Raw genomic sequence first — 26,471 nt, forward strand, 5'->3', positions numbered from 1 at the left:
AAGAAGATAAAAAAAAACCCTCACCAATTTTTAGAGATCAATAATGATCTCTGTTTTGTTTCCAAACAGTACTGATGTGCTAAATCTAATTTCTCAGAACTTAACTTTCACCGAAATAAAGTTATTCTTCCTGAGAATTTAATCTTCTATGAACTTCTTTTTTTCCTGTAAATTTGCCATCCAACTCTACTTTTAATTAACAGTTTTATTTTGGTATTTTTGTCTCTAATTTAAAAATATAATAAATTGTGTTCAAAATGGGACATATTGACCAGTCCATTAATTATCAGGCTATCTGATCTAGTTCTTTTATTTTATGGTTCTTTAACAGCAATTACTAGTATTTTTTTTTCATTTTCAGCCATCTATGTCTTGGGCCTTTCTGTACTCCCTGTGTGTACATGGAGGCTTTTTTTTAATTTGTTTGTTTTTAATGTTAAATGTAGAAGTCAAATTTAGAGATGATGTTAATGGAGCCACTAATCGGTTTATGAAACCACCTTGACCTTTACCAGACCCATTTTCCTCAGTCTCCCAATCAAACTGGTTGACCTGGTTTATTTAAGGAGCTTTCTCACAATTGTAATTGTATACACATATACATACACATACATGGTAAGTGTATATGATTTAGAAATTCATTGTACAGAGCAAACATACTGATGAAAGTATTATGTTATATGTCAAAAGCGACTTTACAAATAACTTCCTTGCAACAAAGGTCTTATTTGATTACTAAAAAGCCATTTTATATATATAAAAATACATTCTGGCCCTTTGAATTGGGCTTTGACAACTTTAAGTAATGGTAAAAAAGAAAAAAAAGATTCCTCTCCTTATTCCATAGTATGTTTATTATTAACATGTATTGTTATCACATTGTTTTAAGGAATTATAATGGTACAAGTTTACTTTCGCATTTCACTCTTTTATTCTATGTGAGGATATCTACACAAGATATGTTTCTTAATATTAATCAACCCTTGATGGATACACATATTATTAGATAGATTTAGCATTTCGGGACTTTGAATGTACCTGGAAACATCACATCCAACAACTTAAATGAAGATGAAAAGAGAACCAATATAGTATGAAGCAGGAATTTTATTACTTTGTGCACTGCCAAAGAGCCTGTCCCCACTGCGAAATTACTCATGATACACTCAAGATGTTTTACTCTCTAGTCTATTCATTATAACTACAAAATTAAATAACGCTTTACAGGAACGCTTTTAATGATTGCTCCTCGTTATTAGAGATAGCACAGGAAGAAAAAGCCTTTATTTTAAAAAATAGTCTCCTTAAAAGGTATATCTGTCACGAGTTCTGTATCCTGCTAGTCTCTAGGGAAGGCAGATGGATGTGCCCGTTCCCATGTGCAGGGGAAATGTAACAGACCTGACCGAGCCTCTGATAAATCTTCTCTATAGTCCCATTAGTTTTGATGAAGTTCTTTGAGAAACTGAGAAGAGAAAAATGCCTGTGAAAAACATCCCTATTATGTAGTGTGGTGTTATCAGGACTCTGATTTATTTACTAGAAGGGATTCGGTCACAGAGGTAAAAATTAACTTTTTTTTTTTGTTATATACATTTGCTTAGTGCAAACATATGGTTAAAAGCCTGACTTTTCACAATATGATACATTAATTATCAGATTCCTTTAAAATATTCCCACAAAATATTGGCTTCTTAAAGTTTTTTAAAAAAGAAATTTATAGGACAGTTGTGTTGGCTCGCACCTGTAATCCCAGCATTTTGGGAGGCCGAGCCAGGTGGATCACCTGAGGTCAGGAGTTCGAGACCAGCCTGGCCAACAAGGTGAAACCCTGTCTCCACTAAAAATCCAAAAATTAGCCAGGCATGGTTGTGGGCACCTGTAGTCCCAGCTACTCAGAGAATCGCTTGAACCCGGGAGGCAGAAGTTGCAGCGAGCCGAGATTGTGCCATTGCACTCCAGCCTGGGTGACAGAGACTCCGTCTCAAAAAAAAAAAAAAAGAAAGAAAGAAAGAAAGAAAGAAATGTATAGCATTCATTTTTGTTATAACATATTTCAAAATCAATATGTTTTAAAAATTTGGCAGTAAGCAATACAGTATGGGCTTCCATGGAGTCCAGGTTGGAATCCAGCTTTTTTCACTTGGGAAAATGTGTGAGTTTGGAAATGTTTCTTGAATTGTGTTTCAGTTTTCTTGGCAGAAAGTAGATAAAGAAATAGTATCAAATTTATGGGATTTGGGGAATGATTAAATGAGATATTTTATTTAAGCCTCTTGTTACTCCTGACAAATAATAATAAATAAATGCTTTAGCTATTATTATCAGCATTGTCCAAGCAATCTTTAAATTTTTCTCTAAGGAAGAAAGGGGACTATTTTGAAGTGGTCCACCTAGCAATAAATATTCCTTTCCAAATTATTTTTGGGATCTTTTTCCTCCTCTCTGTAATTTAGCTGATATAAAACTTAAGTCTCCTTTGTAAAGAGCAGGATAGGAGAAAGAGAACAGATACTGTGTTCCAAGTGTTTTCTATTAAAAACTATCAGTAGAGGAGAGGAATATTCAAAAATTAAGGCAAGCAGAATCACGGACATTTCTGCATATGGGAACATCCATTTGCTTTCCCCATTGATTGAATAGAAGAGTCCCATTCCCAAAACTCTGATCTCTTTAAAAAAAAAAAGTTGTAGGAAGAGGAGTAGGGAAGAGAAGTTGTTTGGTGAAGTCAGGGGATTTTCTTTTACTATTTGAGTTCGCTTTAAATAATTGGCCACTCATTTTGAAGATTTAGGTAAGTTTGCTGGGCTAGCAACTTACTATATAAAAATAGAACTAAGTAGGATTTTCTATGCAACAATTTCAGATAATACTTATTACTTTGTCATTAGAACTCATTCCCCTCACACAGAAACACAAAAATGCACACACACTCATACTTTAAAACGTTAGGAATACCTTTCACTTTCCCCAAATATTCCGTGTATGCTCACTATGTTTGACATCCCCTATCCTTGCCAGTAAACTCATCTTAAGGTCCTTGTGAATCCTACAGCAGCAATTATACTAAATTAAACCATAATAATGGCAATGCATACATTTTAAATATCTTCCACAAATAATATGCTTATTTCTAATTTCCAAAGTAAAGAAATGCATTTAGCTAGGTAACAGATGATGATTGCATTTTCTCCGTGAGAGCAAAGTATGAGTAGGGTGTTTTGATATTCTTTTAATAACATAATTCTGCTTATTTCATAGGTATTTAGTCCTGCCCTATAGCCAGAATGGCCTTAGACAGAATGGCCTTTTTAGATGACTAATCTAAAAAGCTGTGGTAGGCATCATTACATAACAGTATAAAAATTGGATCTTATAGGCCAGGCGCGGCGGCTCACGCCTGTAATCCCAGCACTTTGGGAGGCCAAGGCGGGCAGATCACGAGGTCAGGAGACTGAGACCATCCTGGCTAACACGGTGAAACCCCGTCTCCATTAAATATACAAAAAAATTAGTCGGGCCTGGCGGCAGGCACCTGTAGTCCCAGCTACTCGGGAGGCTGAGGCAGGAGAATGGCGTGAACCCGGGAGGCGCAGCTTGCAGTGAGCGGAGATCGTGCCACTGCACTCCAGCCTGGGCGACAGAGAGAGACTCCGTCTCAAAACAAACAAACAAACAAAAAAATTGGATCTTATAAGGAGAAATATTGTTATAACACCCTAAGTCCAAGACCTAAAAGAATTTGAAACATGGAGGATAGATTGTGCAGGAATGTATAAAATACAAAACCGGAATAGAAATGGAAGAGGCTTCTGTGATAATCTAGGTCATTGGTTCTGAATCTTGGCTGAAATTATCAGAATTACCCGAATAATGTATCAAAAATACTGATTGCCAAGTCTCAATCCCTAAAGATTTGGTTGGTTAGATCTGGAAATAAGTATTTGTAGTCATATCCCTGGCGATTTTCTGCAGTCCCTTTCACACAGGTCCTTGGACCATAACTTAGAACTCAATGACCTAGAAGAAGAAAGCAGATTGGCGAAGGGATATATTAAAAACACAGAGATGTTTTAGCTGTTTAAGTTGAATTAAGGTCATTTATTCTAAAAGTGTCTCTTTGGGAGTACTTATTTGGATGTAATTTTCATTTGTTTAGCTCCTGTTATGTAGTGAACATTACTATATTTAATATCATATTTGATTATTAGATCTAATATATAGCTATATAGTATTTATTTCAATAAGATATAAGTGACTTATTTATAATAATGACTTCATTACAATTTCATAACTTATTTATACATTTAAAGGAAAATACAACTTCAAATATTTTTGCAAACATAGAATTCCATTTTAAAGGGAAATGATGTAATTTCAAAAGGAAAATACTTTTTTAAAGAACGGAAATTGATCTAAGCCTAATTTGTCCTCCAATGTCAACATCCAAAGTATTTGCATATACTAATGCTTCAACATTACTACCAGCGTGTGAACATATTACCTTGAAAAACTCCAAAGAGTATCAAAACTTATTCTGAATTTTTTTTTTCTGGAAAATTTTCCTAAGTATGCAACAGTAGAAAGAGCTATTCTCCAAAACTTCCAAAACACCAGTGTTTAAGGGTTGAAATAGCTAAAAATATTTCAGAACATTGGTTCAATGTCATGGTATTGAATATTGTACAGCCACCAAAAAAATTGTAAAAATGTAAAAAAATTTATAAGTATTAAAAGATAAAATTTTGAGTAAAAAAACACAAATAGGTTCCATATAGGAAGATAGTAAATCTGTTAATACATTTATGTATGAGTATAAGACTGAAAGAAGAGTTAAAACATATTAAGACAGTGGGTTTCTGAGGGGTTTTTAATATTTAATTTTAAAATATAAATTTAATAACAAAATGTAAAAGTTATTAGTAAAATGGTATTCAGTTGGCTTTAAAATTCTTCTGCATCAGTTATTTGTGGCATAATTGAAAACATTATGGGAGCATGGGATATAGAGGAGTAAGAAATAACTTAAATTCACTCATTCAGCAAAAAGTTGTGAACCATATTGTATATTCAGGCCGTGTATATATTGGAATTTGAATAAGAATCCTCATGTGCGTGCAGGTAATGTCCACTTTTGTTTCCGTGTTCCTCATTTTGACAAGTGCTGATCAACAATTTGTGTGAACAAATCCCAGGACTGATGCATCTCTGAGTCCTTGTGCATATGGTTAACACTTTTCTCCAGGTGTCTTTCCTGAATTTGAGAGTGGTTGGGGTATTCGTGAATATATCAACTTTACCTCATGAAAAACATAAAGTGAAAATATCTCACTACTTTTAGAACAACTGGTACATGGAAAATGCTTCTGGTCCTCTGTGATTGTATTCAATGGGAAGGCTTCAAATTGAAGCTTACTTTATCATTCATATTAGCATCCTTCATGAAACACAAATATATTTATTATATATATACTGCAAAAGCTCACATACATTTTATTAAACTTAGAATAATTTCTCATCAGTGTCAGATACAGTTGCATAGATTTGGAATAAGAGAATAAGAAAAAACATAATAATATGGAACAAAATAATGAAAAGTTCTCAACAAATCCTTTGTTATTGTTTACATTCTTTTTAGCAGTTAAAATTGCTAGAGCCTATTCAAAGTTACTGGAGAGTAAAAAGCACTATAACTAACAGTGGAATTTCTTCTAAGTACTAGCTACCCACTGGGAAAAGAACTGTATCACATTTCTTTTCTATGTAAACAATTTAGGCAAGGAGAAATCAGCTAGTACACAATCTATAAAACTGTTGGTTTATATTTTGTGAGGTGAAGACTGTATGTAATTATATATTGTTTTGTTTTATTGTTATTCGGGAAATATGCTGACTCTATATTTTCAGTCCTGGCAACAAATTCCAGTCCTCTTTACCCCACTGGCTACTATAGACTTTTTACATAGATATCCCTCAGTGATAAATAAGAGTCAGCATATTCAAAACAGAATTTTCTATACTTTCTCCATCCACCAATATTATCTTTACCCTGCATCAAATCACCTCTTCTTACTTTCTCTTCTACTGTCCAAAAAGAAGTCTGGAAGCCTAGACTCATCTTAAATAAACCCTCTCCTTCTACTCAACATGTAGCAATTATATCTGGTCAATTCCTTTTTACTTACATATTTTCTTATATTCATTGTATACCTATCAATGTAAGAGAATCATCACTTGCCTATCCGCTTCTAATCTAGCCAATTCTGAATACCCACGGTGCACCTAAACTCCTTTCATTGATGGAGTATATCCTGAACTTACAGTCTAAATTCTCATAGAACAAGAACATTAAAATATTGAATCACAAGTTTATCACTTATTAAACACATTCTATCAACTGTATGTAATAAAGATGCACTAAAATAATTCCTACTTTTCTAAAACAAAACTATTTTATTTTTATTTTTATATTTTTTTATTTATTACCAAACATCTTCATTATAGCAGCTCAGAGCCTAACCTTCTACACAGTGATTACCAAACATTAGCGTTCATCTCAACCAACTTAGGGCCTCGTTAAAACGCAGGCTACTGGTCTCAGAGTTTCTGAATCAGAAAATTTAGTGTTGGGCTCTAGAATTTGCCTTCCCAACAAGCTTGTATATGAGTCTGATGATGGGACTGTACATTGAGAAGCGCAATTCTAACACACAGTTGCAAACTCCTCTTCCAGATTTCAGAGCTGTTCATAATTTCACCCTACTTATCTCACTGTACTTAGTGCAAATTTCTTTTGCTAGATAGAGGTGGGTTTATTGGGAAATTGACACAAAAGTTGCAAGTCCCCTCATTTGTACAGGCCTCTTCAAAGTCCTTATAATTTGTATTCTTTTCTTTAAAGAGAGCTCTACAAATATATAAGCCTCAAGTCACAAAAAGCCTAAATCCTCCCCTGAATCAAGCATCTAGGATTTTTAATTGATCTCCAAGTATGTTAAATTCTTTTTCATTTCTGTGCCTTCTCTGGTCTGTACTCCTTATTTAGTCAGGAGATTTAGCCCTCACTCTGCATTTGTTTCTCTCCCACAGCAGATTCCACCCATCGTTGACTCTCAAGACCATTTATTTATTTACTAAACGGATCTAACTCTTTTTTTATTGATGGTTAACTGCCTTGCATTGCTACTAGTTCTCTTTTTAAAAATACTTCGCATTTAGTTAAGTTTTTTTTTGCTTTTAGTGTTGAATGTATTAAATACAATATAGTTATTATCAATAAAACAAAGACATGCAACAGATCACATAGTAAACACTATACATTGGAATTTTTATATTTAATAAAGAAATGTCCTACCAGCCTTAAAATGTAAGGAGCATGTGACTGTCTCTAAAGAGTCCAAATATAAAATCCTTTTGGATGTCACTTTACCAAACTACATATCTGCTAATTAACTGATGTTCAGGAAATGTGAAGAGCAAGTTAATCAAGTTAATTAAAATAACTATAAAAATAAAAGCTTATATTTATTGAAGACTGACTAATGGGCAGGTACTGTGCTAAGAGGTTTACACATATTAATATGATCTAACCTCAATTTTTCCCTAAAATTAACTACTATTATTGTTGGAGTGGTTGTTGTTTTAAGATAAAACTGAACCTAGAAATGTTGATAAGTTCCTTAAAGTCCCCAGCTAGTATAGAACACGGATTCAAACCCCCAACTACAGGACTCCAAAGCCTTAACTTTAATTTACCTAATCAGGTAAATTAGCAGCTGTAATCCATTATGTTGAGGCACGGTGGGTGCCTCACAGTGGGGAAATCCTTTCAATCATTTTTCTTCTCTCTATTGCCTATAAAAGCCTGTTAGGCAGGAAGCTAACTTCACTTAGCTACAGCACAACAGCACAAACAGGTATACTTGGAAGTCAAGAGATCTCCAATGTCATTTTTATAGCTTTCAGACTGATACATGCCAGCTAACAGATTTTGATGATGGCTATTATTTGATGAATGTCCTATTAGTCCTAGGATCTTCTATTACTAGTTTATTCTGTTCTATTTGCCATACTCTTTTCCTTAGTTATGTATGCATTGCCCAATTCATGACAATTCTGGACTCCTGCAGTGATTTCTTGTCCTTGATGACAAAAATACACCTCAGGACATATTTACATTACAACTGGACCTTTACTATTAATAATTTAAAGAAAAGTAATTCAAATTCAGATTAGCCACCATCGATGGGAGGTAGAAACTAGTGGGTAAAGTAAAATGTTGGATTATTTGACTTCCATTTTTCTGAAGTAGAAAGATTAGATATTTAGTTCTATTTTTCTGCCAGTTACCCTTCTATGGATTCAAAAGAATTTCACAGACATTGTGATATTTATCACTATATTCATATGACTTAAAAGTGAGTAATACAATTTCCTACATCAATGTAAAACTACAGAAAAAGGAAATGAAGACATATGTATGACATGGTGGCAATAACTTACAAATTCTGACTCTATTAAATATAGTGCCACATTTTTTCTTCATATATCATTTGTATTGCCCCTTTTAATCATGATGTTATTTACATCAACTCTATGATAAAGTAATGTCAAATATTTACTTACGGAACTGTCACCCCCCCAGTACTTATTAGGCACACACTACATTCAACGTAAACATCAGGAAACAGAAAAATATGTGTCTATATCCTGCATTTATAGTCTAAATTCTAACAGAACAAAAACATTATTCAAATAGTGAATTACAAATTTATCATTTATTAAATGCATTTTACCAACTGCATATCATGAAGATGAACTAAAATAATTACCACTTTTCTAAAATAAAACTATTTTATTTTAATCTTGGGAGATGGGAAATTTGCCAGAATGCTTTTCATTAGATATCTGTTAAATTAATACCTTAGCAGTCACTCTACTACTGAGGAGTATTATTCGTATGCCAAAAATGAAATATCTTCTGTACAGCACCTACCCATCACAGTAATGCAAGAGACTGTGTCCCATATGAAACATCACTAGAACGTTGTAATAGGACCTGAGGCATTTCATTTTTAATTAGAGAAGTGTCAAAAAGACTAATCAAATTAAACATAACAGTACTAACAGATTAAATAACCTATTTGGAGTGAGTCATGCATGATGGTTGGAGAGCTGAATATTGTAGGCTGCTTTTCTTAAAATTATCCTGCAAAAATGTTTTGGTCTTGAAGGGGATGTTCACATTTAGATCACTTGTTCCTTGAAAATATGACTAGGTCGCTACTAATATCAGTAAACCTGTCCTCCCAAATAATGAAGCACCTATTTTGAAATTCATCTTTCTTTTACTCAGCAAAAACAGCACTCTTCTTTATAGCTTTATAAAGAGAACACATTTCATTTCAATTATCAGTTAAATCATGAAACTAAAGTTAAATACATGACCTCGCCTTGAATAGAGTATCCTATGTAGAGCAGTAACTTCTTTCCTTTTCTTCACTTGCTTCCTGCCTTCCTTCCTTTCTTCCTTTTTCTTTCCTTCTTTGGCAAATCTGAAATCATTCTACGGTTTCTTTAATGTTTTATTCAAAGAACCAACTTTGAAAGAATCGATTTTAAAAGATTTTTAAACAGTGATTCTATTGTTACTTGTTGAATAGAATATTAAACTATTAGAAATTCAATAAATGTAACCTTATAAATTATAAAAATTATAAAATATATTTTGTATTTTAATAATGTGCACGTGTGTGTATGTGTGAGAGAAAGAGAGAGAAAAAGTAAGAGTAAACCTGGCCATCATGTTTTCTCTGGTGATTTACATTCTTTTTCAAGGCACAACAAGTAAGTTATTACCAACAATATTGAATTACTTTGTCTAACTTTTCATTGATGCAAGAAAGAAAGAAAAAACAACAAAAACAAAATAAATGGTGGGACCTCAAGATTTTTCCTGATGAATGAACACTGATAAGAAAATTCTGAATCATTGTTCCACCCAGTTAATACTATTAATGGACTAATGAACAGCAAGACTACAAATACGTTGAATGGTTAGTGAGTCGCATTTTTTTCCATTTCATGAACAGAAGAGACAGCCTCTGACTCATCCAGCTTCTGCCCCCATAATTGGGATGGTTCCTGCCCTCCTCTCCTCCAACTAAATCAAATAGTTAACGCTAAAACACTCAAAATAGACAAATATTTCCTTTTTTATGTAAAACGATTAAAGAGTCACACTGTAGCGAAAATTCCGAAGTGTTACTATATTATAAAAGGCCCAGAAGATCAATTGTAGCGGACCTAAGTGTAAATTGGCTGGCATTAGACATCTTGGAGAAAAGAGCACTCTTCTCAGACCTCATGGAGATAATTAGGCCCAATTACTAGGTGAAGTCACTGTACTCATTTAAGACTCAGACAATGTGTCAATGTGTGCATGTGTGTGTGTGTTCCATAAAAATTGTGGCATAACAAAATTATAGCTGTGATCATATAGTAGTCTTTTTTATTAATAACATTTCTATGATTAGAAAAGTGATAACATGGTCACTGTAAAAATTTTAGAGTATCTAGGTGAATGTATTGGAAAAACATAAATCACCCATGAAATCACCACTCAGAAATAACCAGTGCTAAAATCCTGTTACAGTTTTTCGAGGCCATATCCTAAACATATACTTGTTTTTTAATGTAACACACACACACACACACACACACACACACACAATCCTACACATATTTCCCCTTCCTGAAATATGGATCATACTTTTATATCCTATTTTTTGTTAACTTTATGACATAAACATTTTATCCTATATCATTGAATGTTAAATTTTTAAAAATCATGATTTCATCTTCTGGATGTAGATTTATTTAACCACCTATCTGTGGTAAACAGCTGCATGCATAATTTTTTATCCATATCTCTGATTATTTTCAATGATATAAGCACCTGGATGTCAATTAAATTTTTGATTTTTATACACTATAATTATAACACAATGCTTTATTTAAATATATCATTGAAACTCATGCTTCATGACCACATAACCTATTATTTGTACATAGACTGAGCCTGCTCACTTATCATTCCTCAGATGATAGCCTCATTCATCCTTAATTGGTTGTCCTTGGATATTGTTGATGGATAACAAAAAAAAATCAAAGATTAAATAGGAAAAATACAATGTCCCGTATAAAAACAATTCTATATTTGAGAAAAACAGGTTTAACATAAGACTATTGACCTTAACTATGAAAAAAACAGACAAGAGGGGAAAGACCATGAGAGCAGATGACAGACAGTACCAGAACAATTGTTATCATCACGAGATAAGCATCATCTGTGTCCCATGCTCTTGTTCTAATTCTCAGTGTAACCCAACACTCTGTCCCTCAGCCTATTTCAAACTCTGTTTATTTGTTCTTCAGAAACTTTTCTGCTTCCTTCATATTCAAGGTGTTTAAAAACAGAGATCAAAACATATATTTTCCCATTCAAATATGAAACTAGTCAGAACTCTTTTGCTTTCAATAAATCTAGGCAATTTATTTGTCCCCACTAAAAGAAGAATTACTTTCTGTAAAGTGATAGTAATACTAGCTTACGATACACACTTTTTACTAAAATACTGTCCCCAAACAGCTCTTCTGAGCCTGGCCAGTAAGTAAGATTGTCTTATATTGATGCCCTTTGTAGAAACAAAGAACTAGCAATATGTAGAGGTAGAAACTGCAACAGGTAGCCCAGGCACAGTCTTATACTGGATGCTCTCATATTGCTTTCCTCGCATAATATCCTTTTAAGTTGATGGTGTCTTCTAGAACTTTTATTCACTTGTAAGAAAAAATTGGAATCTTCAGTCTTTCCCCAGAGTGTTCCCTCTATTATGCTACTTACCTGAGGTATGATTTTCTGTTGATAACATCATTGCTTTTATGTTAGTTCTACCAAGCACACTTAATCATATCTACTTGGCTTCCTTTCTTATTTTCTTTAACAAGATTCTGAGCCACACCCACTCTACTCAAAATTCTGCCCTGTCCCACACACACATAGCCAATCCTTCAGCAGGTGACCTATTTCTGTACCACTATTAACTGACTTCTTTACAGTTTCTTGGGAAGAAGTGGCCCAATTAGTTTTGAATTGTGTTTTTGATCTCCTACCCCTCCTATGATCTTATTCTCCCCTCCGAACTTCCATTGCCTCCATCCACCATTTCTGTGCTTGTAAATAACTTAAAATATCCTCCATGTTCAAAGACCTCTTTTGAGCCTTGCTCCTCTGCAAGAAGCTGCCCCACCACTCCTTTTCTTAGTTACCAAATTTCTTGAATTAATTGTCTACCCTTTTTTTCTTTTTACTCTAAAATAACCACTGCCTCCCATTTCACAGTGAATTCATAACTGTCAATTCCAAAGATCAATTCCAAAATTAGTTTTGGTCCTAGTCAAGTTTCCTTGACTTCACAAACGCATTTAACAAGAGGATACTCCATATTTGTAACGATTTTCTTCTAAAACATACATGGAGATTATTGACTCCTGGCTCCTCATTTACCACCTTTTCCCACTGTCTGCATTGGTAACTCTTTTGAAGACACCCCTTTAATTGCTATTTGAACCTGGGCCTCACTCTCTTGTGTTATCAGTCTGCACACACTCCCTGGACAGGCTCACTGGCTTCTGTGACTCTGTAAGCAGGTAAGTATCAAATCTGAAGATATGTGGGCGAATGTGAAAAATATGGCCTGAATTTTAAGTGAGATTTGGAATGTGGGATACAGAAGATAATGAAGCTTAATTTACAAAAATCAAACTTTGTTAGTTATCCCTTCTCTCCATTGAGCTTTGCTTATCCTCTCTACTTCTGGTATTTCAATGGTGTCACCACCTAGCCAGTCGCTCAACTTTGAAATCATCAAAGTTGATTTGATAAATCATCTTTATCATTTGTAAATCATCAGACTTACCCTTCTTTGTTGCTATTTCTCTCAATGACTGATTTCTAATCTATTTTGCTTACCACCATCACAATTACCTTTCAAATACCTAGAATAGAACATACATTGAACAGATTCAAAAGGCTTAAAAACTTTGATGATTCTCTCAACAGCATTCAACATCCACCTACTATTCAACTGCTTTACATGTTAGTCCCAACTTCAGTTTCTAATCTCTGTCCTTGCATAATTGTTCTCTTCATTCTACCCAAGGAAAAGTAATCTCTCATTCATCTATGTTCCTATGGCTCATTGTTCCTGTCAGTAGTTATAGCTCTCAGCTACTTCTGTTTTATGAAATTATTTGCATGGCTGTCCCTCCAGTGAAATTATAAGTTCCTGATTGGTAGTGGCCATAATATTCACCTCAATTCCCACACCAGCACAATTCCTAGTAAATATTTGGAGCTCAACATATATTTTAAGAGTGAATTTCAGCAATTAAAATCATTCTGATATATCACAAGTATAACCTGATTTTTGATGAGGTTAATTCAATACCAAAACATGCTTTAGTGTACCTTTAGGTTTATTAAAAGTTAGAGCCTGCCTTAGCTTTGGAAGAATTTCAAGAATTTTCATAAGTATCATCATGACTCCTTACACTACTCTCCATGATACTAAAAGTATGAATATTTCTTCATAGCATAAAGAAAATAAGACTAATAGAAATTAACTTACTTATCATTGTCACAAAGCCAGTGGGTGATACAGTGGGGATTAAAAACACTTACTCTGAATTTCCGTTCATTAACATATTCACTCCATGAAGCATTCATTCAATAGAAACTTCCCATCTTTTTATGAGGACAAATGAGATAATGTCCGTAAAACAGTTTGAGCTACTCAAGAAAAGCAGGCTATATAATTTAAGAGATGAATTTGATAAATTGGATTCACAAATAAGTGGATTGGCTCAAAGCCATTATAGAGAGGAAGTTATTGTGTCATTTTCCCAATCATCTTGCCAATTTACCTCAAGCCTTACAATCCTACAAATCTCCTATAAAACTCAGCAAATGAACTTCTTGAAAATGAGTTTTGGTCTCAATCCAGTAAATTTTATTTGTACTTTCCCCATATTCTCTCCAATAGTTCACTGACCCATCACATCACCAAAGCTACTACTTATCAAACTCAGAATACAAGCACATTTGACTTGTTTCATAGCTAATATTTTAGCAATAGTCTTATATAATGATTTGATATGAAAAGCATTTGCTCTTTTGTATTATTATACTTATGTGTAGGTTCTACTTAAGAATTCACCATGTAAGCCTTCAAGAGTGTGCTTATCACACTGCAGTCTTTTTCAATAATAGCACCTACTACATAGGACCCAAGGGCACCCATTAAGTGCTCAATGATATTTTCTACTAGGGTTTTTTTTTCCCTCTGAGAGCATTTCTAGCACTCTCAGAAGGGCAATACAATCAATGTGCAACCTCCAATAGTTCTGAACTTAGCAATGTGGATGCTATTGAAATAGCCATAGTGTGTGGAAAAGAAGTTGCTGATACATCGAGCAAATGTGTATCATACATAGGCCAGACAAAGCTGGCCATGTCCTGTCTTACACTGTTTAGAAAAATAGAATGATTTCATTTAGGGCAGAAGTTGAACAGAAATAGAGTCAATTCAATTTGATTTTATAAGTAAACTCTGCTCCAAGAAATGTGGCTATGTATAAACCAAAAATGCAATTTAAACAACACAATACATTTCAGATTTCTGAACGTTCATTCGGTTTTACTATAAATGAAGTTTCACTTTAAGTGAATTATACCATCACTTTTGGGAATCTAAATAAATCTCACTCTCTAAGCAATTTACAGGCATTGATATTCCCTAACAGTTTAAAATACCCCTGTTTACAAGAATAAGGCAGATGGGTACCAGCAGATGGGCACCATGAGGGGAAAAGGAGTGGTACCCACCTGTTACTGTGTGTGTGCCCATGATCCCAGGTTTACTGGGTAGATGGTTCTATTTTTAAATTTTTGTCTCAAACATGAAAGAGAAATAGGATAAATGATATTTTAAACATTTTTACTATTTTAGTATTTTTAGAACTTAATTATATCCCAAATGTAATATGCAAATGTTACTGTTAGTAACAACTTCCTCCAAAACAAGAGGAACAAAATCTCTCCAGGAATTTAAAAAAATCATTGCAATGAACAGTCTATGGGTAATTAAAATAGTGCACATAAATTTATCAATGTGGTAAATCAGGACAAAAATTTTAAACATTTTTACTGTACACAGAGAAAAATTACACATCCAATAATCTCAGAGAAGTACTCCATAAAGTACATATTAATTTAGAACCAACAGTATAGGTGAAGAAAATAACATTATTAAAGACCCAGAGATATACAACTCAGCTGGACTTAAGAACAAATATTTGGACACAGGCACATGTCTTTCTTGTTCTGTTAATTTTTTTGATTTTACAAATTTTTCTTTGATTAGAAGCAATTCACCTATCAGTAACATGCAATATATTTTTCCCATGTTACCATTCTTGGACACTATCTTGTAATAGCTAAAATGAGTCTCAAATTCATTCAGCAAATACTAATTGCTAATTATGTGTGAATTATACTGGAGATATGAAAAGCTATCTGAAGTAAATAACATCAGAGTTGTAAATGAACTTGCAATTTAGTTAGAAAAGAGTCATAAATGGGTAAATTAATTGATTAATATTGCATTTTTCAAAAGAAACATAAATAAATAAAATATATGACTTAAGATACAGCCAGGCATGGTGGCTCATGCCTGTAATCCCAGCACTTTGGGCGGCCGAAGGGGATGGATCACAAGGTCAAGAGATCGAGACCATCCTGGTCAACATAGTGAAACCCCGTCTCTACTAAAAATACAAAAATTAGCTGGGCGTGGTGGCGTCTGCCTGTAGTCCCAGCTACTCAGGAGGCTGAGAGAGGAGAATTGCTTAAACCCAGGAGGCAGAAGTTGCAGTGAACCTAGATTGTGCCACTGCACTTCAGCCTGGCAACAGAGCGAGACTCGTCTCAAAAAAAAAAAAAAAAGGAAAAAAAAAGATACAAGGGATAGCCAATAATGAGTTACTAAATTAAACAAATTCTCTGACGAGGCTCCCAGAAAGAAACAAACAAAAAACTATGGGTCATCTCAATATCAATTTCACTGGAATGCCCCTGTTCTAGTCTCTCTGCCTCTATTCTCAATAATGCATCCTCGCATACTGACGATTACATTTTCTTTCTGAAATTTAAATATAATCTTGTCACATTCACAACTCAAAACCATGATACAATTCTAGCTTAACTTATTTGACAAATAAGACCGTTTCTGATCTCATGATTTCACAAATACCCAATCTTGTAACCACTATCACCACCTGCCCTAGTTGCTTCTCACTGTTCTCTCAAGCAGAACTAAGATAATTGCAGGTCCTTGAACAGCACTTTGATTCATGTTATTATTTTCTCAGAAGTTTTCTTCTTCCACTGCTTGAAATGTCCTCCCTCACAAAGTTCTCATGAGAATCTTCCCTTCCTTCTTAAAATGCCAGTTTAAATAGTTGCCCAGGAGACCCTCCTTAACACCTTCAGGCAGTTGCTCTTTTTTTTTTTTTTTTTTTTTCTGAGATGGAGTCTTGCTCTGTCGCCCAGGCTGGAGTGCAGTGGTAGGATCTCGGCTCACTGCAAGCTCCGCCTCCCGGGTTCATGCCATTCTCCTGCCTCAGCCTCCCGAGTAGCTGGGACTACAGGTGCCCGCCACCATGCCCGGCTGATTTTTTTTGTGTATTTAGTAGAGACGGGGTTTCACCGTGTTAGCCAGGATGGTCTCGATCTCCTGACCTCATGATCCTCCCGCCTCAGCCTCCCAAAGTGCTGGGATTACAGGTGTGAGCCACCACGCTGGCCCACGCAGTTGCTCTTAAACAAACAAACAAACAAAAATCTACATATCCTACATATTACAATCTAATATTTGCTTTTTATGCACCTCCCACAAGACTGTAGGGCTAATGAGGGAAGGCACTGTAGTCTTTCCTTGATGTGTGCTTAGGTCCTGACCATTGCCTTGTCCTTAGTAAGTGCTCAGCAAATGCTTAAGGAGATAAGGGGTAACCTCAAGCTATGGTAGACTAAGGAAACTTCAGAGCTGACAGGGACGGGGATTACCAGGATGGCAGAAAAGAAGCTGCAAGAGACTCCTAGAAAGGCTAGAACAAAACTTCAAGGGCAGCAGAGGTGAGTACCAAGCACACTTCAGGGACAATGAGCAAACTCTTTTGGCTGTATTGCAGTTAACTGGGAGAGAGGACTGTCTGGATGAATCTGGATAAAGCAATTTCTACCTAATAATTTGCTGCATTGAATACACTCATTCATTCACAAAACTAAGAATTCTTTAGCTATAAAATTATTTTATGTTTGATGGACTTAATAAATTTTGTACATTTCCTGCAAGTAAACCTTTGAATTTCCATAATATTTTACATTTCAGAATGAGCATGTATCAAGTTACATTATATTTTTCTTTTGAGTCTGTGTCTGTAGTATATGTTTCTTTTTTTTACCTACAAAAACTGCTTACAAACAGAATCTATCTATGGGGAAAAAAAGCAAAATAAACAACACAACAACAAAAGCTTTTATTAATTTGTGTGATACTTATCTGAATTTGACTATGCTATATTATGTATGACTTATGCCAACACATCCAACCATCTGTCCCCTCCTACCAACCATTAACAAGCTGCCATTAAATAAAATCTGCAGTACGTGAAGAGTCAAAATTATTGAATTCACTGTTCAAGTAAAGCTTTATCAGATCCATAGTAATCCAAGCAATATTTATATGTCTGAATTGCTAAACAAGCAAAATATGGGCCAGGTAGGACTGAACCCCTGAAGAAGAATTCCCACGTTAGAAGACAAAATGCAGATATTACTTTATTCTCAAACTGATTGCAAAGGAAAAAAAAATCAAGAAATGACTATCCATCAATAAAGCAGCTGGAAAAGTCAAAACAGTAAAACATATAGCTGGCATTGTTACTAGCCAAATCCCTGCGGGGAAAAAATGCCATGTAGATTTCAGTCAATAAACAAATATCTGAAAAGAGGTTAAATAAGTCAATCTAGCCAGTTATAACATATCATATGTGGAGTCATGGGAAGAGAATCATCATCATAACACCAGTAATAATGTGTCTAGTTTTAACTAGATTATATATCTGTCATCTGTTAATTGTGAATCCTATGGGATTATGGTATATTTTTATTCAGTATTTTGAGCCCACAAATCTGAATATATGAGATTTCTGTTGGTAGTTACTAGAACACCAGTGAAAATTTGTATGAGAAAACTGAGGTTAAACAAGACCATTCAAACAAAGTATATGATTAAATGCAAATGTTTTCATTATATAAACACACACATATTATAATTTGGCATTTCTATTGTCTTTTTTCCTTTCTTTGTGAGAAATAAAAGAAGCATATTTCTTTTTAAGAGTTTCAGTCTTCCTTTACATTTCTTGCCATTCAGTGTACAACTCATCCATAAGTTACCCAATACAGACCTCCAACTCACAAAGCAAAGTGACAACTGCTTATGTTATATTGCTGTACTATACAAGTACTAGCAAAGAAAGAATACTTTGCAATACCTGTAATCCCCGTTGAAGAGATTAAGTGGAATTCTGCAAGAACCACTCATAGTTGCATCCAGAACATTGCCTGAGCACCAAGTACTCAGTAAATACTTAATAAATGAACGTCACAGGGAAAAAGGAATCCTTAAATATTTGAATGAATACTTACATGACAAGTATTATAGCTTTATTTTATTCAAGTACTCATAAAAGTTTTTGATACTAGAAAAGTATCATTGAAAGAAATTACATAGTTTTTCTTTTATACTTCTGGGTTTAAAAGTTTATATGCCACTATGAATGTGCTCAGGCTCATGAAGGATGATGGTGTAATTTTTTTTTCTTTTGAGACGGTCTCACTCTATTGCCCAGGCTGGAGTGCAGTGGTGCGATCTCTGCTTACTGCAACCTCCACCTCCCGGATTCAAGCAAATCTCCTGCCTCAGCCTCCCGAGTAGCTGGAATTACAGGTGCACACAACCACACCTGGCTAATTTTTGTATTTTTAGTAGAGACAGGGTTTCACCATGTTGGCCAGGCTGGTTTCCAACTCCAGGCCTTAGGTGATTCACCTAAATCAGCCTCCCAAAGTGCTAGAAATATAGGCATGAGCCACCATGCCTGGCGATAGTGTAATTTTTAAATGTAAATTATTTTTGTTTTTTCTCTATGTGTATATATATGTATGTAGGTGTATATATAAGTATGTATATAACATACCACTTGGATTTTTAAAATATTCACCAAGTGGAAAATTAGAAAAAATATGTATGATGTGATTAATTTGTATGCATTAGGGCCTAAAAATAGGAGCTTTCTTTATTTCATAAGAATGTTCCAGCTCCTAAGTCAAAGGGTGGACAAGGTGATGTTCTTTTTTTTTTTTTTTTTTTTTTTTTTTTTTTTTTTTTTTTTGAGACAGAGTTTTGCTCTTGTTGCCCAGGCTGGAGTGCAATGGTGTGATCTGGGCTCACTGCAACCTCCGCCTCAAGTGGTTCTCCTCACTCAGCCTCCCGAGTAGCTGCGGTTACAGGTATGCACCACCACGCCTGGCTAATTTTGTATTTTTGTAGAGATGGGGTTTCTCCGTGTTGGTCAGGCTGGTCTCGAACTCCCGACCTCAGGTGATCTGCCCACCTTGGCCTCCCAAAGTGCTGGGATTACAGGCATGAGCCACTGCACCCAGCCAGGTGATGGTCTTTAATTAGAGACTTGAATATTGAATCAAAACCACAGAAGATTATGTTATTACAGCACAACCCTCACCTTGAAACGTGAAAAATGTGTTAAATTATTTTGCTACTTTTCCTTTTAGCCAGGAACTATTCAATACTTTCACAAGTACCTGTTTAACTCAGCCCACTACACTGGCCATCATAAATAACCAAAACGTGATTTCTTTACTTTCTTTAAGGAAACAGTATCTCGCACTTCCAGTGTTCAGTCACATTTAATAAAGATGAATCTTTCTAGCCGTTCAACACCCTCACCTATTTTAAAAACAAGGAGGCAGAATTTTGTGTGATATTCTCTAAGTTTATAAATTGTGGTGTCCTCTCCGTTAGAGAAAAAAAAAGAGTATTGCTTAACGTTCAGACATCAAAGGCTCCTCTCCTATGCTGAGGCTTCAGGAATGGGGTGCAATTATTGTCAAAAGGTTAAACCTATTGTTGAAGACTAACTGCTTCAGCGCCCTGGATACTGAGTGTGACAGGTTCTGCAGGTGTACAGGTCTTTGCCTATTGATACAAATTGAATCTGAAAATAGCAATTTATTCACCAAATCAAACCAATCACTGCAATGCAGTTTTCTCTTTCAGCTCTTACTTCCAACCAACCACTTTTAACTACTTTGAAACTTCTGTTCTACAATAACATTTCTTTTTCAGCAAGGGGTTTAGGAAAGCTATCATGAAAATCCTTTTTTTTTTTTTAGCCTTCATAGCTTTGAGCCGTTCTTTTAGAAGAATATTTGTTTACAGTTACACTACTTATTCTAGGCAAAAATGATCAACACCTGTTCCAAATTAGTACTCCAGTCCCCACACTCCTTTTTCTTTTCACCACCAACTGTCATTTGCCTTCCTTTACCCATAAAAAAGCAATCACATTAGCATCCTTTGTAACACAATCGCAGGACTTCAAAGACATACCAGAAATTCTGTAGTAAAATTCTGTCTTATATATGGCAACATAATCAACTTCCAGGAAATAGGAAAGCACATAAAATAAAGACATTTTGAAGTGGATCTTTTAATTTTAACAGATAATTGAAATGACACCCAATAGCCAAGTCAAGAATTTGAAACAAGTAAATGAAAGAGAGTTTGCCTGAGGGGAGGCAAACAGAGCAAAGAACTCTCAATTTGTATCAAAGACTGGACAAATAAATGAATGCTCTTGAAGTTTGGAATCAACACGTATTCCTGGCACTTGATCAGCCTTTCCGAAGCTCCTGAATGGAGAGACTTGCAATGGCTAACCACAGACCACAGGTTGTTGCCATGACTACAAGCAACCAACAGGAAGAAAAAAGAAAGAAAGAAAAAGCAGTTGGGAAACACTTAAAAACAAAGTAAGTTGAACTGAAAAGAATAAAACTTAAATACAATTTTTAAGTGAAAAGTCTATCAGAAAGAATATAAACAAAACTCATTAAATTATATCAATAACAGACCAAACTGTACATTAAAGATGTTCCATATTATAAGGTGTTCATTCAGAGGAGAAAAAAGATGGAAGAAAAAAAAAAGAAACAAGGGGAAGATGAAGAGGAGAAATAGTAACAACAGTAGCTCTGGTTGCTGTAGTTTTTTGTGCCTCAGCACTTCAGACAAGTGAAACCTGCAGGCAACTATTAGCTCATGTATTAATCTAAACTCTATTAGGAAGCCACCAGAAGCTGATCTGGGTATTTTACCTACAATTACTGGATAATTTAAAGAGACAATGGGAAAACACTTGGTTATTTAGATCAAGAGGTGTAGAAATTTAAATTCTGTTGAAAACTGAAGTTGATATTAACAAAGGTTGACCAAAAATTGGTGATTACTAAAAAGCAAACATTTGTATCAGAGTTGGGTAACTACAGTAATGCTCAATGGCCATGGGTCATCGTGTCTATGTTGAGGTGTGCAGTACTCTATAGACAATGATGTACTGGAGTTGTTAATACCTTTTATGTTTTAAGAAATTTTGTGAGCCAGTTATTATATTTAGCTATTATTAAAAATAATGTATATAAACTTATCACATAATAAATTATATTTAAAATTTCTTCTTTTACTATAATTTATGCTGTTGAGGTTTTTTTCTACTTATTGTATCTGTATGGTGGAAATAGCATATATTGGTTAGGCTATTTCCATCCCTTCTGAACACATTCAGTGATATGACACTGGTAGCTTGAAATTGGCCATGGTGAAGTCCTTACACCATAAAACCTGGCAAATACTACTTAGCAGGGCTTTATTTATGGTGTTATTGATTACCTAGACTTGAGACACTGAAGAAAATAGTAATAATGCAGAATAAACTTAAAATGTGTCATGTCTGTTGCTATTATATTGCAAATAGTAGAAAAAATTATGAAATACTCTTTTCCATATTTAAAAATAACATTTTCTGATTTAACAAAGGAGTACTCACATAATTGATGAAGGAGTGACGTTCTGAACTAAGTCTTCATTGTTTTAGTTGTTTCATCTACTTACATAAATGAAAATATTAACCAATATGTATGTCACAAGTATATTCGTTTGTCATTTGAAGCTAATTAACAAAAGTATTTTCTAAGAACCAATTAGTCACATGGAATTTACCATGAAGTATATGTTATTATTTATAAATTGGGAGCTACACATTCTTTGTCTCAGTAAAATGTATAATAAATATGTGTGTGCATGTACAAACACTAGGGAAGAAGAAGAAATTATTTACTTGTGGTGCTATATGCTAATTTTTTATTTTTTCTAAATACATAGGTGAAATGGTTTGGTATATTTTCTTTTGACCCTTCTGTGAAAAGCCAGGCCATGTGGTACACTTCCTTATTAGAATACTGGACAAATATAATAAAACATCAACCAACAAGTCATTTCAAATGCAATTTGTGAATGTTCAAGAAAAATGAATATGAATGTGTTTCCTTTTTCTTCATGAGGTGTTTACAAATCCCTAACGCAATTGAGAAAGTCTTCTTTTTTTAATGTTTCTTTTCTTTCCACACTGCAGGAGCAAATTCAAAAATATATAATTATGACCAGATCATTGGTATCAGAAATTAACTAAATCATCATCTCTTAAAAGAATGGCTTTGGAGTATGAATGTAATAATGATTTACACAACTTGCATTTGTTGAATATCCACTGTGTGCTAAGTTAAAAGTCATTCCATTTCAAAAATAGTATATTAAAAATTACTGGGAGGAAGAGGAGGAAGATTTGAAAAAGACTTGAGTAAATTTTTGCCAGTGTTGGGTATGTCTACTACCTTGAAAGTAGTGATGATATCACAGGTATATCCACATGTCAAACGTATCAAATTGCACTTTATATGCACTTTATTCAATGTCAGTTTTACCTTAATAAATCTGTTTGAAAAGTTTCTAAAATGAAGAAGGGCAAGTTAAAGCATATTTATATATCATTTATGCATATAAATGTATATGAATAATTATATTAGGGTTATCACTATGTAGCTGATTTGGGGCCTACTCTTAAGCTCTTTGGTGGTTATGCTCTTTTAAAAAATAACAAACACATTATCTTTTATGATATATAGGTATTCTACATTTTCAAGAAGACAAACTAAAACTACATCTAATGAATTCATTTTTAAAGTGTACACATCTGCATCTATTGAGATAATCATGTGGTTTTTGTCTTTGGTTCTGTTTATATGCTGGATTACATTTATTGATTTGCGTATATTGAACCAGCCTTGCATCCCAGGGATGAAGCCCACTTGATCATGGTGGATAAGCTTTTTGATGTGCTGCTGGATTTGGTTCCCCAGTATTTTATTCAGGATTTTTGCATCAATGTTCATCAAGGATATTGGTCTAAAATTCTCTTTTTTGGTTGTGTCTCTGCCCGGCTTTGGTACCAGGATGATGACAAAATTCAACAACCCTTCATGCTAAGAACTCTTAATAAATTAGGTATTGATGGGACGTATCTCAAAATAATAAGAGCTATCTATGACATACCCACAGCCCATATCATACTGAATGGGCAAAAACTGGAAGCATTCCCTTTGAAAACTGGCATCAGACAGGGATGCCCTCCCTCACCACTCCTATTCAACATAGTGTTGGAAGTTCTGGCCAGGGCAATTAGGCAGGAGAAGGAAATAAAGGGTATTCAATTAGGAAAAGAGGAAGTCAAATTGTCCTTGTTTGCAGATGACATGATTGTATATCTAGAAAAACCCATTGTCTCAGCCCAAAATCTCCTTAAGCTGATCAGCAACTTCAGCAAAGTCTCAGGATACAAAATCAATGTACAAAAATCACAAGCATTCTTATACACCAACAACAGACAAACAGAGAGCCAAATCATGAGTGAACTCCCATTCACAATTGCTTCAAAGAGAATAAAATACCTAGGAATCCAACTTACAAGGGACGTGAAGGACCTCTTCAAGGAGAACTACCAACCACTGATCAATGAAATAAAAGAGGAAACAAAGAAATGGAAGAACATTCCACGCTCATGGGTAGGAAGAATCAATATCGTGAAAATGGCCATACTGCCCAAGGTAATTTATAGAGTCAATGCCATCCCCATCAAGCTACCAATGAGTTTCTTCACAGAATTGGAAAAAACTACTTTAAAGTTCATATGGAACCAAAAAAGAGCCCGCATTGCCAAGTCAATCCTAAGCCAAAAGAACAAAGCTGGAGGCATCACACTACCTGACTTCAAACTATACTACAAGGCTACAGTAACCAAAACAGCATGGTACTGGTACCAAAACAGAGATATAGATCAACGGAACAGAACAGAGCCCTCAGAAATAACGCCGCATATCCACAACTATCTGATCTTTGACAAACCTGAGAAAAACAAGAAATGGGGAAAGGATTCCCTATTTAATAAATGGTGCCCATGGGAAAACTGGCTAGCCATATGTAGAAAGCTGAAACTGGATCCCTTCCTTACACCTTATACAAAAATTAATTCAAGATGGATTAAAGACTTGAACGTTAGACCTAAAACCATAGAAACCCTAGAAGAAAACCTAGGCATTACCATTCAGGACACAGGCATGGGCAAGGACTTCATGTCTAAAACACCAAAAGCAATGGCAACAAAAGCCAAAATTGACAAATGGGATCTAATTAAACTAAAGAGCTTCTGCACAGCAAAAGAAACTACCATCAGAGTGAACAGGCAACCTACAAAATGGGAGAAAATTTTCACAACCTACTCATCTGACAAAGGGCTAATATCCAGAATCTACAATGAACTCAAACAAATTTACAAGAAAAAAACAAACAACCCCATCAAAAAGTGGGTGAAGGACATGAACAGACACTTCTCAAAAGAAGACATTTATGCAGCCAAAAGACACATGAAAAAATGCTCACCATCACTGGCCATCAGAGAAATGCAAATCAAAACCACAATGAGATACCATCTCATACCAGTTAGAATGGCAATCATTAAAAAGTCAGGAAACAACAGTTGCTGGAGAGGATGTGGAGAAATAGGAACACTTTTACACTGTTGGTGGGACTGTAAACTAGTTCAACCATTGTGGAAGTCAGTGTGGCGATTCCTCAGGGATCTAGAACTAGAAATACCATTTGACCCAGCCATCCCATTACTGAGTATATACCCAAATGACTATAAATCATGCTGCTATAAAGACACATGCACACATATGTTTCTTGCGGCACTATTCACAATAGCAAAGACTTGGAAACAACCCAAATGTCCAACAGTGATAGACTGGATTAAGAAAATGTGGCACATATACACCATGGAATACTATGCAGCCATAAAAATGATGAGTTCATGTCCTTTGTAGGGACATGGATGAAATTGGAAATCATCATTCTCAGTAAACTATCGCAAGAACAAAAAACCAAACACCGCATATTCTCACTCATAGGTGGGAATTGAACAATGAGAACACATGGACACAGGAAGGGGAACATCACACTCTGGGAACTGCTGTGGGGTGGGGGGAGGGGGGAGGGATAGCTTTAGGAGATATACTTAGTGCTAGATGACGAGTTAATGGGTGCAGCACACCAGCATGGCACATGTACACATATGTAACTAACCTGTACATTGTGCACATGTACCCTAAAACTTTAAGTATAATAATAATAAAATAAAAATAAAAAAATAAAGTGTACACATCAAGAAAACAAAAAATAAGGATGTTTATTAAAAGTTAGTTAACCCAAGGCTGTATGACTTAATTTGTAAACTTTTTTTTGTCCTTTCATCCTAAACATATTTTTCTTCCAAATAAATTACTAATATGTATTTCTTCTCACCTCGAAAATGTTTAAATATCTATTTATAATACACACACTGACACTTTAGAATAAATGAAACCTCAATTTTAATGAATAATCTATAAATTTAAACAGGAGAACGAGACATTTTGGCATCCTCAAAGAGCTTTGTTCTTTCTTAACCTAATGTAGACTGCCAGAGTTGAATTGCACCAAAAAAGAGTTCTGGCAAAATCACGTTTTCTGTCATGAAGTTAGCGTCTAAAAATAGCCTATGCAAACTCTGCAATTTTGAATAAATTCTTAATGTATTTCCCTAACTTTATTTAA

General features: G+C 34.7%; 1 protein-coding gene across 6 annotated transcripts in view; it reads right to left on the reverse strand.

The window, feature by feature from the left end:
- The window catches only part of PCDH9 (protocadherin 9), a 927,503-nt gene that overhangs the window by 699,733 nt on the left and 201,299 nt on the right, over nucleotides 1–26,471 (reverse strand). The window lies entirely within an intron of this gene.

Source organism: Homo sapiens, chromosome 13 (assembly GCF_000001405.40).
Source record: "Homo sapiens chromosome 13, GRCh38.p14 Primary Assembly".
Taxonomy (NCBI): Eukaryota; Metazoa; Chordata; class Mammalia; order Primates; family Hominidae; genus Homo; species Homo sapiens.